Consider the following 20,380-nt stretch of genomic DNA (forward strand, 5'->3'; position numbering starts at 1 on the left):
AGAACTTATTTATTTCTGACTTAATTTCGTTATTTACTCAGTAGTCATTCAGGAGCAGGTTGTTCAGTTTCCATGTAGTTGTGTGGTTTTGGTAAGTTTCTTAATCCTGAGTTCTAATTTGATTGCACCGTGGTCTTAGAGGCTGTTTTTTATGATTTCTGGTTTTTTGCATTTGCTGAGGAGTGTTTTACTTCCAATTATGTGTTCAATTTTAGAGTAAGTGCTATGTGGTGCTGAGAAGAATGTATATTCTGTTGATTTGGGGTAGAGAGTTCTGTAGATACCCATCAGGTCTGCTTGGTCCAGAGCTTAGTTCAAGTCCTGAATATCCTTGTTAATTTCCTGTCTCATTGATCTAATATTGACAGTGGGGTGTTAAAGTCTCCCACTATTATTGTGTGGGAGTCTAAGTCACTTTGTAGGTCTCTAAGAACTTGTTTGATGAATCTGGGTGCTCCTGTATTGGGTGTATATATATTTAGGATAGTTAGCTCTTCTTGTTGCATTGATCCCTTTACCACTATGCAATGCCCTTCTTTGTCTTTTTTGATCATTGTTGGTTTAAAGTCTGTTTTGTCAGGTCATTTATGTTCTTCTTTAAACTAGTTATTCTAGTTAGCAGTACCTGTAACCTTTTGTCAAGGTTTTTAGCTTCCTTGCATTGGATTACAACATGCTCCTTTAGCTCAGAGGAGTTTGTTATTACCCACTTTCTGAAGCCTACTTCTGTCAATTGGTCAAACTCATTCTCTGTCCAGTTTTGTGCCCTTGCTGGAGAGGAGTTGCAATCATTTGGAGGAGAAGAGGCATTCCGGTTTCTGGAATTTCAGCAGTTTTGCACTGTTTTTTCCTCATCTTTGAGGATTTATCCACCTTTTATCTTTGAGGCTGATGACCTTTGGATGGGGTTTCTGTGTGTGGGGGTCCTTTTTGTTGATGTTGATGTTATTTCTTTCTGTTAGTTTTTCTTCTAACACTCAGGCTCCTCTTCTGCAGGTTTGCTGCAGTTTTTTGGAGGTCCACTCCAGACCCCTTTCCCTGGGTATCCCCAGCAGAGGCTGCAGAACAGCAAGATTGCTGCCTTCTTCTTCCTCTGGAAGCTTCATCCCAGAGGGGCACCAGCCTGATACCAGCTGGAGCTCTCCTGTATGAGGTGTCTGTCAACCCCTGTTGGGAGGTGTCTCCTAGTCAGGAGGCATGGGGGTTAGGGACCCACTTGAGGAGGCAATCTGTCCCTTAGCAGAGGTCAAGTGCTGTGCTGGCAGAACCTTTCTTGTCAGGATCCACTGCTCTCTTCAGAGCCAGCAGGCATGAACGTTTAAGTCCTCTGAAGCTGTGCCCACAGCCACCCCTTCCCACAGGTGCTCTGTCCCAAGGAGATGGGAGTTTTATTTATAAGTCCCTGACTGGGGCTGCTGCCTTTCTGAGATGGCCTGCCCAGTTAAGAGGAATCTAGTGAGCACCTAATCAAGTCTCAGTAATAGCGGACGCCCCCCCCGCAACAAGCTCAATGATCCTAGGTCGACTTCAGACTACTAAGTTGACAATGGAATTTCAAGCCAGTGGTTCTTAGCTTGCTGGGCTCCGTGGGAGTGGGACCCGCTGAGCAAGACCACTAGGCTCCCTGGCTTCAGCCCCCTTTCCAGGGGAGTGAACGGTTCTGTCTCATTGGTGTTCCAGGCACCACTGCGGTACAAGAAAAAAAAAAAAAAAAAAAAAAAAAAAAACTCCTGCAGCTAGCTTGGTCTCTGCCCAAACAGCTGTCCAGTTTTCTGGTTGAAACCCAGGGCCCTGGTGGTGTAGGCACACGAGGGAATCTCCTGGTCTGTGGATTGCAGAAACCATGGGAGAAGTGCAGTATCTGGGCCGGATAGTACAGTCCCTCATGGCACAGTCCCTCAGGGCTTCCCTTGGCTAGGGGAGGGAGTTCCCAACCTCTTGTGCTTCCTGGGTGAGACGACGCCCCACCCTGCTTCTACTCCTGCTCTGTGGGCTGCACCCACTGCCTACGCAGTCCCAATGAGATGAACAGGGTACCTCAGTTGGAAATGCAGAAATTACCCACCTTCTGCGTTGGTCTCGCTGACAGCTGCAGACAGGAGCTGTTCCTATTCAGCCATCTTGCCACCAGGCCCTGTTTTAAACTTCTTAACGATTATCTGTGGGCTTTCACTTGGCAAATGAGAGAAATGTACTATAAGAGTATTACTCAAGTAATATGTTCCAATTAGCGGGTTACAAAGTAAATTTATGTGTTCATAGACAGTGAGAAAAATAAAAATAAAATAGAATAAATATTAGTGTGTTGCCCATGAAAAGGTACTTGTCTCACAAAGCTCTAATTTCAGTTTTGAATATAAATTCATCTACGTAGTGGGATGCAATAACAAATATATCTCAATATTAATTTATCATAGTTTCAAAGTGTGAAAGATAGAAACCTAACATTTCTTGATTTCCATTTAGTCCTCTCCTATTGTGTTGTGTGAAAATTATTTTAAAAACAGACCTATAAAATGGAATTCAGATAAGATGATTCATATGAACTTTTCTACCTCATTATTACTCATGTTAGAAAATTAGTCAAAATCATCTTTTTGAAAAGGCGTCAGGGAAAAATTACTCTCTACAGAGATAATAGTATTTCCTGTTATTTTTGTCAGCAGTGACTCAGAGATCAGTTGAAAAATTCGAGAAGACCAGGGGATGATAAAGAGATCTTAAAAGCATCTTTGTTTTATGACTAAAAAGTGTGGCACATAACCCAGAGAGATTTTTCTTAGTTTTCTTACTTAGATTTAACCCTCTAATGAGACCTTTGATCTGAAAAAGAAAAATCCAGATCAATTAATACAAATGACAAAAATGTCCCTTGCTTTGTGTGTAATTTCTTTTAAGAAAAGTAATAAATATTCACTATAAAATTTTTAAATTCAAGACTAATGAGAATAAAATAAGCCCACAAGCAAAATAATTACCTTAAAATTACAAAAACAACATTTCTAAAATTAGATACAAATACTGCAGAAAAGCATAAGGAAAAAAACATTTGAAAACTACCTTTATACTAATGAGAATATTTTAATGAATTCATTAAATTGGGGGTAGGGAATCTCTACTCTTCCTTAAGTAAATATTCAAATATTTATGTCCTTGCATAAGTGGACTTTCAATATGTTAAGGTGAAAAAGGTCAGGGACCAAGATCCTAGAACTGTTTGTTAGATTGAATCAAAACTGTATAAATCAAAGAAAAGCATATGTTTGTGGTAACAACATTTAGGGCTGCTTAATCACAGACGTGGGCTGAATACAGAGGCCCTAGCTGAGGAAGTAGAACAGATAGTTGGAGCTATCACATGGGGCAATGCTATGAAGACTCAAGATGAAGGCCAGGCCTCAGCATATCTCTCTGCAGAAGATGACAGGCACAGACATAAGATCTGAAGCTGATCATTACTTTCCCACAAGGATTAGAGAGAAGCTGTGAGGAGAACGCTGAGTGGATTTGTAGGCTGCCCAGGTGGGGTGCTGTCACTAAGGGAAGACAAGAATGAAGGAATCCTACCAATGGCAGCTGGATTAGCAGCTGTGAAGTCCAGTAAGCAGACACTTCAGACCAAAGGATTTCTCCCAGGGGTGAATACAAGGCCTGACTACAAGAGTTCTTCATAAGACTCAAAGGTTTGCAGATCATTGAGAGCCTGGCCACTATCTGGAGAGTTCACTGGCCCCCAGGAGAGTTTGGTGGAGAGGATGAATGGGCCTGTGCGGTGGCATTTTACTCTGAAGTTATGTTTTCCCCTGCTCTCTGCTTCACAGAGGAGTCCTGGCCTTTGGGAGGTGCTATGATTCATCCTCTGGGATCTTAAACTCTACCTAGATTCAAGTCATGTACACAGAAAAAAATAAAAGTGTCAACTCTCACAACTCTGTTCAGGAGAGAAGCTTTATCTGACCCCTGGGACAGGACATAGCCAAAGACACACAATACTAAAAATAGGGGAATTGGTGAGCGGCCGGAGCAGCACTCCATCAGTCAGCATTCAAATAGTGTTTTATAATGTTGTTGATTAATTCTATAATTATATACTTATGTAAACTATGGAATATACCTACTTAGAATATGAAATATGAGAATACTTATATGGAAAATGGTTAAGTAAATGGGCTCCGGAGTTAGAAAAATCTAGGCTCCAAATCTGTTTTTTTTATTTATTTACTTGGTAATTTTTCTGAATACTATTAAATTATTTATAAAAACGCAAAATACCTACCTCAAAGTGTTGCTTCAAGGATTTAATAAAATAATGTATGTAACAGTGGTTTGCACAAAATATATATGTGTATACTCATTAAATTGTCTCTATTAAAACTAATAATAGAAGCAAAATTATTGCTATTGTGGGACCAAACAGTAAGATTCAGAGAATTGAATATAGATAAAATGCAGAGGCTAGCTGGACTAAAATCTTGACTGGTTTATGAATGCCAGAACCTATGATTAAAAATATACTAAATGGTTGATTTGATTTAATCACATTTAAAACCAAAGTTAATGTATAGATGACTGAGTACCATGTACCAATGATAATACAGATGTGCCATTCGGATAGTCTAAAAAGTAATTTGTATTAACTCTTAAGTAGTTATTTAATGTAATCTCCTAAATGTCTAATTCACAATAGCAAAGACATGGAACCAACCCAAATGTCCATAAATGATAGACTGGATAAAGAAAATGTGGTACATATACACCATGGAATACTATACAGCCATAAAAAGGAATAAGATCATGTCCTTTGCAGGGACATGGATGAAGCTGGAAGCTGTCATCCTCAGCAGACTAACCCAGTAACAGAAAAGCAAACACCACATGTTCTCACTCACAAGTGGGAGCTGAAGAATGAGAAAACATGGACACAGATGGAAACAGGGAGGGGAAAACACACACACCAGGGCCTTTCAGGGGCAGGGATCAAGGGGAAGGAGAGCATCAGCAACTAATGTATGTGGGGCTTAAAACCTAGGTGACAGGTTGATAGGTGCAGCAAACCACCATGGCACACGTATACCTATGTAACACACCTGCATGTTCTGCACATGTATCCCGGAACTTAAAGTAACAAAAAAAAAATAATGAGGTCATTTAAAATGTAATAAGTCCAAAGTGAGAGGGATTTCATTGTAGGTATAGCAACTCAGTCCTATAAGAAGTGTTTGGGATAAAAAATTCATTGCAACACATGAGATCATTATTTTTGTAATGTATGGATTCCTGTAATGCATGGATTGCATTATTCACTGCAATCAGTGAGATCATTAGTGCTGTACATTCCGATACCACGAAGGCACTGCATCACATCCAAGGTCACAGATATTTCTTAAAATCCAGTGAGGCCATAAAATGAGTTCCAAACTTTCTTATACTCTGAATACTTGTCCCCAAACCTTGAGATCACTCAAAGGAGAAGACTAAGAATAAGGCTTTTGAGGAAGGTAGAAAAGGATGGCCTAAATTTCCCTTTAGAGCGTTAGCAGTACAGGCAGGAGGATTATGAGGAAGAAGCATTAGGTGAAGTTTAAAGTCACTCTACAAGGTCAAGCTTAAAACTGGCTGACAGACCTCAGCCTACTGGAATGAAGGACCCTGGATTAGTCTCTGTCAGGTCTAGACTGAGTGCCTCTCATTGCCAATTCGAAAGTGAAGTCCCAAGTCCTAGTGCAGGCTCTGACCTCTATTATTTATGCCATGCCACTTAATTACCTTGAGCCTTAATTTTCTGATTTTAAAATCCAAGGTTAATATGTATTTGATCAACTCACTAGATTGATATATGTTGATAACATTAGGTTAGCATGGTTCACCCAGGTTATATAAATTCTTTTACAATTGGAATAGAATTCAGACAACATGAAAGAAATTACTATTCAAAGTATTCACCCTGAAGAAAAAGCAAACTATGATGCAAGCTACAAAGGTATACTGTTTAGTAGTTTGAAAAGGAAAGTAAACACGATTTAATTGGAAAATGAAGAATAGCCTATTAAGAGAATGGGGAAGGCCCATGTAAGGAAATTGTCCTCTTAGGGGTTTACACTATACTGATTTTAAGGTCACATTAACACTAAAACCCAATCATGAAGTCACTTTCTTAAATGTCTACTGTGATTCTAGCATTACCTTTAGTGCCAAAATAATAGACATAGCTCCCATATTCAAAGAGGTATCTGCATGGCTGTAATAATAAAGGGCAAATAATACAAAGGGGATAAAAATGAACTCCATGTTCTGGGAGAGGTCCCATTAGAAACATTTTGCTGGTCAGCTTTGCAAATCAGGCATCTCCCCCAGAATCCTGCATATGCAACTGTGTGATGCTTCTAACAAAGTGACTGTTCGCCAGTCATTTTGTGGTTCTTTGGTACCACTATTCCTGTTATGTTCCCTAGTTTTAAGCTGTTAATGTATTTATTTTTTTCCATTATGATAAAATACCCATAATATAACATTTATGATTTTAACAATTTGAAAATGTAAACTTTGGTGGCATTTAATACATTCACAATGTTGTGTAATCATCACCAATACCTACTTCAAGAACATCCTCATCCTAAAGTAAACTATGTACTCATTACACAGGACTTCATTGTTCTTTCTTCTCTCAGTCACTGGTAACTACCAATCTGCTTTGTATACTTTAGATTTTTATGTAAATGAAATCATACAATATGTGGCCATTGAATTTAGCTTCTTTCACTTAGCCTACTGTTTTCATTCTTCATCCATGTTTTTGTGACAGAAATATTCCACTGTGCATATGTGTATGTGTGCATGTGCACACTCACCCACAGTGCACACACCATGTTTTGTTGCATGCACACATCACATTTTGTTTATCCATTAATCAACTGATGGACATTTGAGTTGTTTCTACCTGTTTACTGTTGCAAATAATCCCGCCATGGATACATGTACAAAGCTATATTCAAAAAAGCTGTTATCATTTTAATGACCCCTTTCATCTTCTATAATAAGACTAAGCTCTTCTCTAAGTGTGATGTCAGCCTCCTTATGCCTTTCTAGACTCTGCTGCTACTACTAGCTCTTTTTATGCAACACCACCCAAGTCTTACACAAACCCTATAACCAAGTCTGCCACACACCTCATGCTTTGCCACTGCCTGAAATGTCCTCATTAGGCTGTTGCACATTTACTTTCTAGCTTTTCTAGAAGCAGCTCAGTCATCATTTCCTGCTGGAAGCCAGGTCTTCTTTGTGTCCTTCTGCTCATCTGGCCCATGCATGCATTAATCAATAGGCCAATTCCAGTCTGTTCCACTCATTTATGTGCCTACAGGTCAGTCTCTTCTAAGTCATGAGTTTCAGTGAGGTATAAAGTAAGTCTGATTCATCTGTGAATCCCAGCAGAGAATTTTACCACATAGTAGATATTCCATAAATGTTTGATGAGTGAATGTATTAAATGTAAAGATGAATGGCATTTGTATTCCATGAAGCAAAAGAAGAGCTCTGCAGTTATTCAATTCTCTCTTTAAGCAGCATTTGCCATCTCTCCTTATGTCTCTCTACCTCAGACAATTAATATTTCAAGCTCACCTCCTGAAAACAGACTATAGAAAATGACCAAGATCTAGGGAAGAACAATGGATATGGTCAGAAAAGATAAGTATGAATTATGGCACTTCCATCCTTATCTCCTAGGGTCCATGTCAATTCACTTTGCTTGCTGAGTCTCTAATAGAGGCTAAAGTCAGCTCAAGAACAATATTAAAAGTCTCAGCTTTAGTGTCAGTTCAGCTCCCAGACAATGGCCATGTGATGTCCAGCTACATATTTATTTTGACTCAATAATATAAAATATTCAGTGGAGTAGCTTATAATAATACTTTTTACCACATAGATTAAAATATATTCAAAATGTATTCAATCCATCAATTCTTAATTGGCTATGCTAATAGAAGACAAAACTGTATGTTCTGCTTAAAGTGGTAACCTCTCATCATGCCCTCATTGAAACAAATTATATTTTTTAGACATGATAAAACTCAATAATTACTTCTGAGAAGTGTTTCTGGCTCTTCCAGTCTAATTTAAATGCCCTTCTTTTCTGCCCTCATTGCACCTTTGTCTTTCTTATCTTTCTTTCCCATAGCATCTGCCATTGTCCTGTGTGCCTTGATATATTTGTCTCTGTTTCCTAGTAAGTCATAAGTTTTGAGATGACAGAAGCCATGTTTTACCCACAGTGATTAATGCCATCCCTATACATAGAAGATGCTCAATCAATGATGTTGAATGAATGTCATACACATTTAATCGAGTTTGACAGAGACCTGATATTAGTATCACAACAGTGAAACAGTTAAGTAGTCATAAGCACTAGATTTAAGCCATCTTGCAGAATGATAATTCAGATAGCCAGAAAAATATTTATATGAAGTGAAATAAAGTTTTATTCACCATTAGCACAACGAAGGCTGGGCTTGGGGAAGGCTTATTTGTAAAGAGGTGATTACAGAAACCTGTGAAGAGGAATCTCAACCTCTTTCCAACTTTGGGAAATGATGCCTACCATAAAATTACCTCTCAGTTAAATAATGAGTTTAATTTTAAATAATAGGCAATGTCTTGTTCATTTATATTTTTATAGCATTTCAGAATTAAAACAATTACTGTAATCCAAAAATGACAGGACCAAAAACAAGAACATGTTTCATTCTATGCCTTTCAACTCAGAAGACCCTCAAGAATAACTATAGAAAATAATACTGTTAAATTACAATGCAGTACTATTTTAGGAGGGGAAGGGAAGGGTGTCAAACCATTATATCCAATTTGATAGAATCTTCTGGCTTGTCATAAATTATAACTTTGCATCATAATACTTTTTATAATACGCTTATACATTTACTAAATTAACCAAAAAGAAATGGTAAGCTCAGAATTACCGTGACTACATAATTGACAGTACATTTTTTCAAGTTATTAAATAAGCTTTTATAAACCAGCTGTAGTCAAAAGATTTCTACTTACTTAAAAAAGAGCTAAAAGACCGTCCTTGTTTAAGGATTCATAGATACAGGAGCAAAAATACGATAAATTATTTTCTAATTTCCTCTAGTGAATTTGTTGTCAGCGGAACTAGGAAATACAAAATATCTAGAATAATTTGTAGGAAGGAAAAGCACTATTATAATTTCCATTAATATTTTTTATTACAGATTTCAAGTCGGGAGGCTTTTTCTTGGTCAACTTACCTGTCATCAAACAAAATTAGGCAGAGAAACAAAAGGATGCAAAAAGTTTATTTTCTATTATTTCCCTATCCGTGAAAAGCTTTTATAACCATGATTTTCTCTATGTATTAGAAATCATTTTTGTAAAGACAAACCTTCTAAGTTTGACCCAAGTCACTTATTTGTGTCTTTGCTCTTCTGAGAGTTGTTTTCATATAAAGGAAGATCTAAAATTCTGTGTATTTCTCAGTCTTTACAGCATGAATGTGATTTTATTGACGCATACTCTATGTGCACATTGATTTCAAAAGAATATGATACTAGTGTCTTTTATTAACTCTCATTAGTCCATAAAAATATATCTTTAGCTTTATCCTTAATATAATCTCTTACATTTACATAGCATTTAATATTACTTATTCCACATATTTTCACTTCAGACATTTTGATATGCTAATGGAGCCACAGCCACTGATTTCATACAAATGATATTTGATTTCTAGTAAAAAGCGTTAATATTAACTGTATTTATTTCTCCCATTATGGGAGGGTCTACCATAAAATTTAAGTATACCTTTAAAATTAGAGGGTATTTACTCATCTCATCTATGTGATAAGGAGTATGTGTCTTTATTTCTGCTCTTAAGGAGTTATAATGTCACATATGCAAACAGTTTTGTTAGCAGCATATGATAATATATGCGCAAAGAGTCAAAGAAAGGAGATATTAATATAGGTGTGAGGGGGCATAAATATTTTATGAAGTAGAATATACCACATCAAGATCTGGAAAGGAACAGAAGAAGAGAGATAAAAAGTAGAGTTCTTAACAAAGCCCGCAAGGCTCTACATCGCATAGCTCCTGCTGTCTTCTTGCACAACGAGGTCCAGCATGACTTCAGAACAGAGCCTGCTAACATGCTGATCCTTCCGCCCAGAATGCTGTTCCCTATGCTTCACCTGTTAAACCCATCACATGGGACTTATCTTTAATATTAATTTCTTAATAAATACTTTTATTGAGAGCGCCGGTTCCAAATGTAAACAAGGTCCATTTGTTTTGTGATCATTACACCCTCTATTCTTCCTTAATAATTTATAATACATATGATTTTATAAATATTGTATATTTATGAAATAATGTGTGTGCCGTATATCCTTACTTAACAGACAACTTCATGAATTCAGAGATTTTGTCTGCTATATTCCCCTATATTCTGTATTCCCAACACCCAGAAGAGTGCTCAATATGTTGGAAGAATTTAGTATATTTTGTGAATAGATGGAAGAAAATGGAATGCCAAAGAGTACAGCAATAGACCATTTAAATCCTAACAATTACATTATGGTGTAGAAGAAATACCATGGATTTTGGAGCCAGGCTACCTTTGATGTAGACATTTCCTCTGTGATATTTCAACTATGCAACGGTACTGAATTGCTCTGAGCTTCCACTTTCTCCTAGGTAAAATGAATGTGACCATCCCATCTTGCAGGTTTGTTATTAGGATTTAATGAAGGAATGAATGCAACATGCCTAGTACATTGCCTAGCATACAATAATTTCTGATATTTATATACAAGAATTACCTATATAGTGATGTGCTTGCAATACTCATTAGTAATAATACTTTAAAATGATTAAATTTGAAATTCAAGACCTGGCGCGGTGGCTCACGCCTGTAATCCCAGCACTTTGGGAGGCCGAGGAGGGCGGATCACGAGGTCAGGAGATCGAGACTATCCTGGCTAACACGGTGAAACCCCGTCTCTAAAAAAAAAATACACAAATTAGCCGGGCGTGGTGGCAGGCACCTGTAGTCCCAGCTACTCAGGAGGCTGAGGCAGGAGAATGGCATGAACCCAGGAGGCGGAGCTTGCAGTGAGTCGAGATCGCGCCACTGCACTCCAGCCTGGGCAACAGAACGAGACTCCGTCTCAAAAAAAAAAAATTTTTTTTGAAATTCAAACTAATCCACCCAAATGAATAACTAGGTATTTATTGTTTATGTGAACTAAAGTTTTCTAATATCCTTTTCTATACCCTGCAAATTGACTTAGCAAACATAAACTTTTAGTAGATTGTTTCTGTTTTGTCTAACTATTCAATTTGGTTACATGTTATAGTTTTTCATTGCAAAGCTTGGGGAAATTTTTTACCCAACAGGTGAATCTGAAGAGGGTTGGGAGCAGGTAAGAAAAGAGAAACATACTAAATTTTAATTATTAAAAAATGACAAAATGCACAGAGAATCCAATGACATAAACTTGTTTATGAAACTTTTATGGCTAAAAAAAGCATAAATTTGGCAGACAGTGTGAAATAATTTCTATGTTACTATTTATATTTTTGTCTATGGGTAGAAATTTTAAGCTCTTAAAAGTGCTCATAATCATTGACCCAATATTTTCCCTGGCAGAAATTAAGCTGTAGAAAATAGCCATAGATGCAAAGAATTATGGAAAAATATCTCATTACATTATTATTAAATTACCAAAACCTGAAATCAACACAAATGTCCAGTATTGGTATCCTAACTTGTGATAGTTCTGTACAATGAAATATTCATTAAAATAATAATTACAAATAAAATAATTACAAACATGATAAATTGCTTATGCCATGATGTTATATAACACAATAAAAACATTGCATGTTTTTATATATTAACATAATTCTATAAACACCATAAAACTGAAAACTATATTTTCAAAAAGTTCTTATTGAGAGGCTTATGTGTAATTTGCATTTTCTTCTTTGTACCTTTCTGCAATTGAAAAGCAGAGGTTTTCCTATCAAACTAATGTCTGTAAGAAACTCAAAGATTGAAGTTGGAAAACTCACATTGTCTAACCTCCATAGGTATTCAAGGGTACAGCAATCAAAAAAGTGTGGCACTGGCATAAGGATAAACATACAGATCAATAGACATATAGACATACAAAGAGAAAAGAAGAGAGAAACTAGAAATAAACTCACATACACATGGTTAACTGGTTATCCACAGAGGTTCCTCGGTAATTAATTGAAAAAGGGATTGTGTTTTTCAATCAATATTGTCAGAACAATCTGATATCCATGTACCAAAAAACAATAATAACATTAACCATACTTCACTTCAAATATAAAATTGAATTTGAAATGTATTATATCCCTAAGTGTAAGGTAAGGGCATAGCATTTCTATAAGAAAACATGAGGCAAAGTCTTTGTGACAGTTTAAGCAAAGATGCATGATTCATAACATTTTCAAAAAGATAAATTGTACTTCAACAAAATTAAATACTGTTGTTCTTAGAATGATCCTCTTAAGAAAATGAGAAGACAAGCTACAAATTTTGTGAAATTATTTGCAAAGCATAAATCTCATGCAGATCTTGTACCCAGAAAAGTTTTGTATAGAGAATTTTTACAACTCAACAATAAGGAGACAAAAAGTTTATAAAAATTTGAAAAAAAATAAATACATCTTTTACATACATAAATAAAAAAGTAAGGAAAATTATCACATGAAATATGTTAAACGTAGTAAGTCATTAGGGAAAGATATAAAAACATAATGAGACACCTCTATATGCCTACTACATTGGTTAAATTAAAGACTGACACTATTAAATGCTCTTGAAGAGGTAGAGCAACTGAAATTTTCATACAGCGCTGATGGGAATATACTTTGAAAAAGTTTCAAAGTATGAAGTTAAACATAAATAGATCACATGACTTAAAATCCCACTCTTAGGTATTAAAAATGAAAGCAGGTATCTTTGAATATTCATAGCAGCTTTATTCATAATAGCTTAAATGTAAAAACAATTCAAATGCCCATCAGCTGGTGAATATATAAACAAATTGTACTGCATCCACAGACTGAAAAACTACTGCACATTAAAGAGAAAAAAGTACCTGAATATACAACAACATTAATAATTCTTATAAGCATTATGCTAAATGAAAAATGCCAGAAACAAACATCTACATATTGTATGACTCCATTTATATACATTCTAGATAAAGCAAAACTATAGAAACAGAAATCAGATAGCAGTTTTTGAAAGAAGTATAGTTAGGGGATCGGCTGCAAAATGGCATGAGGAGACTTTGCAGCTGATGGAAATATTCTATATATCTAATTTATAGTGAGTACATGGCTGTATATATCTGTCAGCTTCATCAGTCTACATATTAAAAGGGCAAACTTTACTGTGCTCTATATTATATCTCAATTGACCTGACTTAAAAAGAGAAATTTGTTTCTTCACAATAAATCTTAATAATAATGATGATACAGTTGTAATGAACATTTATCACATTACAATTTATAAATAAACTTCATGTAATACTTCTCCTGAATAGTTATTGCTGTGAAGGAGATAGCATTTTTTTAATCATTTTTACAGTTATGGACACTAAATGTTAGAAATTTTAGGTGATTTTTTTTCTAAAGCATACTAACTGTTATATGGAATAACTAGGCCTAAGATGCAGCCCTACTGAGACTCACTTAGAATGATAAGTGGAAGGAGCATGAATTTTTCACTAGTAAATATGTAAGTTTGAATCCCACAAATGCTTCTAAAATATACGAAAAATGGGCAGAATATATATAATCTTTCTGATCCTACTTAGCCAAATTTATTATCATTATTAAAGAGATGAGCTTTACAAAGTCTCTAGTACAGTGCTTAGGACTTATTAGGTGTTCTTTCCTTATTAGTTCCTGTTCTTCACCTTGATACTACACTACTCTTCCATTAGCCACTGTTGAACAAATAATCTCTCTTAATAGCACTGCCACCACCCAGTCATCCAACTTAGAGCCCTGATAGACAAATAGCCTCTACCCCTCCCACTTTAAGAATGTAACTTCATAGCAGGCAATGTTTGAAACTCTTTCTAAATATGTCTTGAGTTCCTCCTATGTTATCCTTTGTCTCCATAATTTCTCTAGTTAAAGCTCTTTTGTTTTTTCTTTTAGAGTTCTGAAATTGCTTCCTACCTAGTTTCCAGACTCTGAAAACTCTTTGTATTACTAGACTGAGCATCTTCAAACACAGATCTGATCATCATTCTCTTACTCATCACCATTTATTAGCTTGCCATGTACTGCTCATATGAATTTTAAACTTAGTAGCGCTGCATATGAAACTCTTCATGACCTGATCCTTCCCTTTGTCTTCAGCTTCCAAACCTAACTCTCTTACCACCGATATCCAGTCCTACAGAACTTGTGACTTATCACAGTGATACATGTTCATCCTAGGTCTGTCTTTACCCTAAGACATTTATTTCTCCCCCGTCTCCTGGGCTAAATCACTGTTGTCCCTTCATGACCAAATATTTTTCGACTCCAGAAAGGGTTCTCTGACTAAACAAAAGTATGCCAGTTTGCTCTTTTTCTGGGTTCACATAGCATTCTGTGCACAATTCTATTACGGAACTTAGGACTTCCTGTTAACATTATAAGTTGCCGCATTTATCTGCACCCACTTGTCAATAAATGCCTTGAGATTAGGAACAAAGTATTTCTCATGTTTTTAACCCCAGATTTTAGAATGACACTTGATTTAAACATATTGTTAATGAATAAATTAATAATATATGAAATTATTTCTGCTGTCTCCAAGTTTATTTGGTAAAAATGAAACTTCTGCACCCAATTGTTTTCATTGTCTATTTTTGCAACAACATAGGAAATAGTATGATCTTTTCTTTCTCTTTATATATTCAAGTCCTTTAATAATATTCATTATCTAAGAAAGGGGGTCAAGACACAGCAAAAATAAAATTAAACTTGATGTCGGAAAAAATATTAACATTTCTTGTTCTATAAAAAACCAGTTAAATATCTGAGTATTTCTCTTAGCTTCTCTATGTTTCAGCTTTCTCACAAACTAAGAGACAATCTCTGATGTTAATTCTAACTCCAAAGTGTTGCCATCTCTCTATTCTTTACTATTGTAAAGTCTAATAACCTTATTTTCTAGGACATGGTTTTAATTTTTCTATTCTTTCTTTTCTAGGCTACAGAATCTTTTTTTTGTAGGATTCCTAGTTACCTAAGATATAAAACACAATGTGTTGGCCTTCTAAATTCTGCTTTCTTCTCTAAGTTTGTAGCACACTATTGCTAAATCATTTTTGTGTCAATCTCTTGAAACTGTCATCTCTCTATTTCAGTGAGTCTCCTTTGCCCTCAGATCAAATACCGCTTCTCAATGTTACCTTCAAAATGTTGAAACTAGACATACTCTGTCTCCTTTCTTTTGTCTCCTTTTAACCTTATTCCTTACTCTGCTTTTCTTGGCAATCCCAACTCCTGTCTAGCAGCATTTTGGCCATGTTGCCCAGCACACCCCTGTTCCATCTTTCTATTCAGTTAAGTAAGGGTTCAGTACCTATCTCCTTCAAACACTTGTGTCCAATTAACCCTTTTTCTCCTTTGACCTCACAGGGCTCCTGAGAAACCAATCCAACTCAATGTAACAAGTAACTAATAATCTGGCAAAATACACATATTGTCAAGTTCATAGCACAAAATACAGTCATTTAAAGAAGAAAATTGCTTAAATATGAAATAAACCCAGAAACACCCAGGTCTTGGTCTCAGATTTGTTTTTACTCCTCCTGGAGGAAAGCTTATAACTTAAGTGATGCAGCACCAGACTCACCAAGCTTTCCAGCACTCCTGAGAATCTAGTAGGTGGAATCTCTACACGTGTTTAGCTATCTGATAAATGCATAGATTTCATGTGGGTGATCTTTACTTTCCAATTAAAATATATATATATAACCCTGTTCACTAATACTTTTAAAATTTTTTTAAAAATCAAAGAATATGAACTCTTCGGCAATGTGGCCAAAATATTTTCACATGTTAACAGCTGAAATGGGCTTGATACATCATATAGTTAAAAACTCACTGTTTTACAGATGAGGAAATTGAGGCATGCCAAAGTGAAGATATGTATTGAACCTCTCACTGTTTTTAAATAGAAAGCCAATATTAAGGCATTTTTCCAATGCTCAGTTTCACCACACTTTATAATTTTGGCTCTTGAATATGTTGTCAGAACACAGGCAGCCTAATCACATTATGGCAACTCTTCTTAAACTGATTTCTGAATACCATTGACAAACACTTGGTGGAAAAAGGCAAGGATAGCTTTATTATAACTAGCAGCCAACAGTACAAGGAACACTCCTGCACATCCGTATTTATGCCTTTCCTCATTACACCTGAGACTTCATTAAAGAAAAAACGTAATAAGATTTGTATTAAAAAAAAAATTCTCGATATTTCTTAGTCTTGCTGTCACAACTTTACTGATGAAGTAAACCGGTAAATTTTGAGGCTTAACTTTTAAGATCAGTAATAAATGCTATATTGTTATTAGAAAAATTATTTAGAGGTAGTTATAGAACATTTGAAGTACATATAAGTTTTGAATTCTAATTTTTTTGAGACAGAGTCTTGTTCTATTGCCTTGACTGGAATACAGTAGTAGCATTATGCTCACAGCAGCCTTGAACTCCTAGAGTCAAACAATTCTCCCATCTCAGCCTCCTAAGTAGCTGAGACTACAGGTGTGTGCCACTGCATCTAGCTAACTTTTAAAATTTTTTGTAGAGACAGGGTCCTGCTATGTTGCCCAGGCTGGTCTTAAACTCCTGGCTTTAAGTGGTCCTCCAGCCTTGGCTTCCCAAAGTGCTGAGATTACAGGCATGAGTCACCACGCCCAGCCTATAATTGTTTTTAATAGCTATTACTGTATAGAAGTAGTCTCATTAAGTGTTAATTAAATAATCTAGTGCTGTAGCTTGAAGATATGTCCCTAATATAATTTTTAATAATATAGGTAAAATGGACACCACAAATAACTCCTTTTATATTTCACACCTGCATATACTAGTGACAGAAATTTGCTATACTTTTCTCTATTATATCATCTTGAGAAACTTATCTAAGAGCCTGTTTTTTGTGTGGGATTTTTATCCCTGGTGTTCATAAAGTGAAGAAAACAGAAACTTGAAAGTTGTTACATTTTTAAATGAATTTGCATCCTTTAGTTATAACTGTAGCTGCTATTCACTCATTAGTTAGGCACCAGGCTTATCAGTTTATATGTGAGATAACATTTAATAATTGAAACAGCCTAGACATTTATTTTATTATGCAGATTAAGAACTTATCCCAGATCAAAGAGTTTGTATTTTTATTTGTCCCAGATGTTGCTTACTCCAAAAACCCATGATTTTGAAAAATAAAGTTACGTTAATTGATCATGCTGTATGTGCCTGGCACCAGTGCCAGCTCAAATGAGTGCGGAAGTGAACTAGGAAGTCTTGATCTTTACCATCCTCAAGGTTGCTACAGATATGAACATTTATCCAAAGAATCTTCTGTATTAAAAATAGTAAATGACATAATAATAGGAATTTTTTTAATCCTAAAGAGATACATAGATATTGGCAATAACATTTATACACAAGAAAGTTTAACTGTTTTGAAATGGCAAAAAATTTTTAAAAATTAGAAAAATAAGCTAAAATACATTCCTAAACATATAACAACATTCTACCCTTATAAAATATTATGAAAGGATATTTAATTACAAGGGCATAATTTATTAATTAATTCATTCAGAAATGTTTGTAAATATATATATAATACTTTGGACACGAATATAATATATATATTTTAGCATGATTGTATGTGGACCTAACTGTTTCTTTAAAAGGTGTTTCATGTCTCTGTAAAGTCTCAAATTTAAATATTCTTCTAAATGATTTTATAAAGTTATCTGCTAACCACAAATATACAATAAGCAGTAACTGTAACTATAGCAATTCCTCAGGGAACAAACATATTTTTAGATCTCTACATTAGAAATAGCATATTTGAAATACTAAGTCTTTGGTAATCTCTGAATAAAAATTACACATATCAAAATTTTAATACATTATTTTCTTTTGTAGAAAAAGATTATGTACATTTTTTATTTTATGAACCCACACATAATAAATATTTGCACCTTCATTAGTCATGAAACATTGATGTGATATAAAGAGTTTCAAACCAGAAAGACATATGACCTAAATTTAAATTTGGGAATTATACAATGGCTGGTGGTATTTTTCAGACTCTTTTCATTAAAAGGGAAGGAGCATAATACTTAATTTGTAAATTGATGACAGAAATTTCAAGAATTTGTTAAAGAACCTGGCATATGATAGACACTCAATCAAAATAATCCTAGGAATAACTATAGTGCACAGTTGAGTGTCTTTACAGATGATCAATAAAAGTTAACAATTCTTAACATCAAAGCATGAATGAATTGTGTTCTTAATTCATTCATTCATTCATTTGAATGCCAACTACATTCAACATCAAGCTTATTCCAATCCCTGGGCTACAATAGTCCCTATACCTGAAATGTTCCTTAAATATTCAAAAGTCTGACTGTATCTTCCTTGACAATCCTTAAAGGGTAGCATCCTTTTATTCTCTGTTCCCTTGTGCTGTCATTGTCTGTCTGACAGTTTATCATTTATAACATTTGCTTATCTCTGTTGTATGATTTCACTATACAGATGTAAGCTTTACAAGGTCTGAAGCTTATTTATATTGTTTACGGCTATACAATCAGTACTTTGAATTGTGTCAAGCATATTACATATATTTTTTACAGGAAATCTGAGGTCTTTATCATTATCGTCTTTCAATACATAATATGTCTTTCATTCTTCGGGATACTTTTAAGATTTTCTCTTTATTGATGATTTTGAAAATGTTTTATTATGCTGTATCTTGATGTCATTTTATTCATGTTCCTTATGCTTTGATTTCATTGAGCTTTTTGGTTCTGTGGAGCTATAGTTGTTTCAAACAAATTTGGAATAATTTTGGCCATTATTTGCTCAAATATTTTCTCTGTCTATCTCTCTTTTTCAGGGAACACAATTGCACATATATTACATTTCTTGAAGTTGCCCCACAGCTCTCCAACGCTCTGTTTATTATCCTTAGTTTTCTGTTCTCTTTGTGTGGCATTTTGGATAGATACAATTGCTATGCCTTCAAGTTTACTAATCTTTTCTTCTGCAATGTCCCATCTGCCATTAATCTCATTGTTTGAATTTTTCAGCTCACAAATTACAGTTTTGACAGAAATATACTTTGGGTCCCTTTTTGTCTTCCATGGCCTACTTAACTTTTCATACATATGAAATAGAGTTATCAGAACTATTTTAATATAGTTGTCTTTTAATTTAACATCTGTGTCCATTAAGCCTTACTTTTGACTGATTTTTCTACTCCTTAGGGATCATATTATCTTGCCTCTTTGAAAACCAGATAATTTTTTGGTTAGCATTGCCAGACATTGGCATTTTTACTTTGTTTGTTGAAGGATATTTTTGTATTAAGTATCTTTAATTAGTACTTTATATTTCATATAATAAACCTCAAGCATATATGTGTCTGTAAGGGCATGTGTATGTGTATGTCTTTGTCTATATATTCTCGGGCTGTATTCTACTTAGGATATTGTAATATATATGTATATGCCATATATAGATATACACATATTATAATATCACATGTATATACACAGATATACACATATTACAATATCTTAACTAGAATACAGCTCAAAAATATACTGACACTATATATATACACACATATATACAATATGTAAAGTAATAGTGTACAAAAATATTTGTCATCATGTGATAAAGAAAATGATCCTTGAGTATATATATAGCGTGTGTACATATATATATAATCCTCTAATATGTATAGTATATTATTCCTATAGTGTATACATTATATACTCTGTATATACTCCACAGATCCTATAGTATATAATATATATAATATCCTATTCATATTTTTCAGCTTTATTCTAGGATAAAATTGAGAGATTTGGACGTAGTTTGATCTTATCTGGCCTTGCTCTTAGGATTTGTAAGGGAGAACAAGAGTAGAGCTCAGTCTCAGGATAATCTTTCCCCACTACTGAAAAAAGATTCTTCTGTGTACTCCACATGATGCTCTGTGAATCATGAGGTTTTCCATCATAGCAGGTGGAAATAGACCACAGTTCAGCCTTATT

General features: G+C 34.9%; 1 long non-coding RNA gene across 6 annotated transcripts in view, besides 1 other annotated feature; it reads right to left on the minus strand.

The window, feature by feature from the left end:
• Positions 1–20,380, minus strand: part of LOC105369468 (uncharacterized) — a 383,452-nt gene that overhangs the window by 137,092 nt on the left and 225,980 nt on the right. The window lies entirely within an intron of this gene.
• Positions 1,933–3,132: an enhancer, noted in NCBI's record as "P300/CBP strongly-dependent group 1 enhancer chr11:105167667-105168866 (GRCh37/hg19 assembly coordinates)". NCBI's record gives its function as "activates an origin of replication core promoter dependent on BRD2, BRD4, P300/CBP, MED14 and CDK7 cofactors, with strong dependence on P300/CBP, by STARR-seq in HCT116 cells {active_cell/tissue: HCT116}" and the evidence as "EXISTENCE:reporter gene assay evidence [ECO:0000049][PMID:35650434]".

Source organism: Homo sapiens, chromosome 11 (genome assembly GCF_000001405.40).
Source record: "Homo sapiens chromosome 11, GRCh38.p14 Primary Assembly".
NCBI lineage: Eukaryota > Metazoa > Chordata > Mammalia > Primates > Hominidae > Homo > Homo sapiens.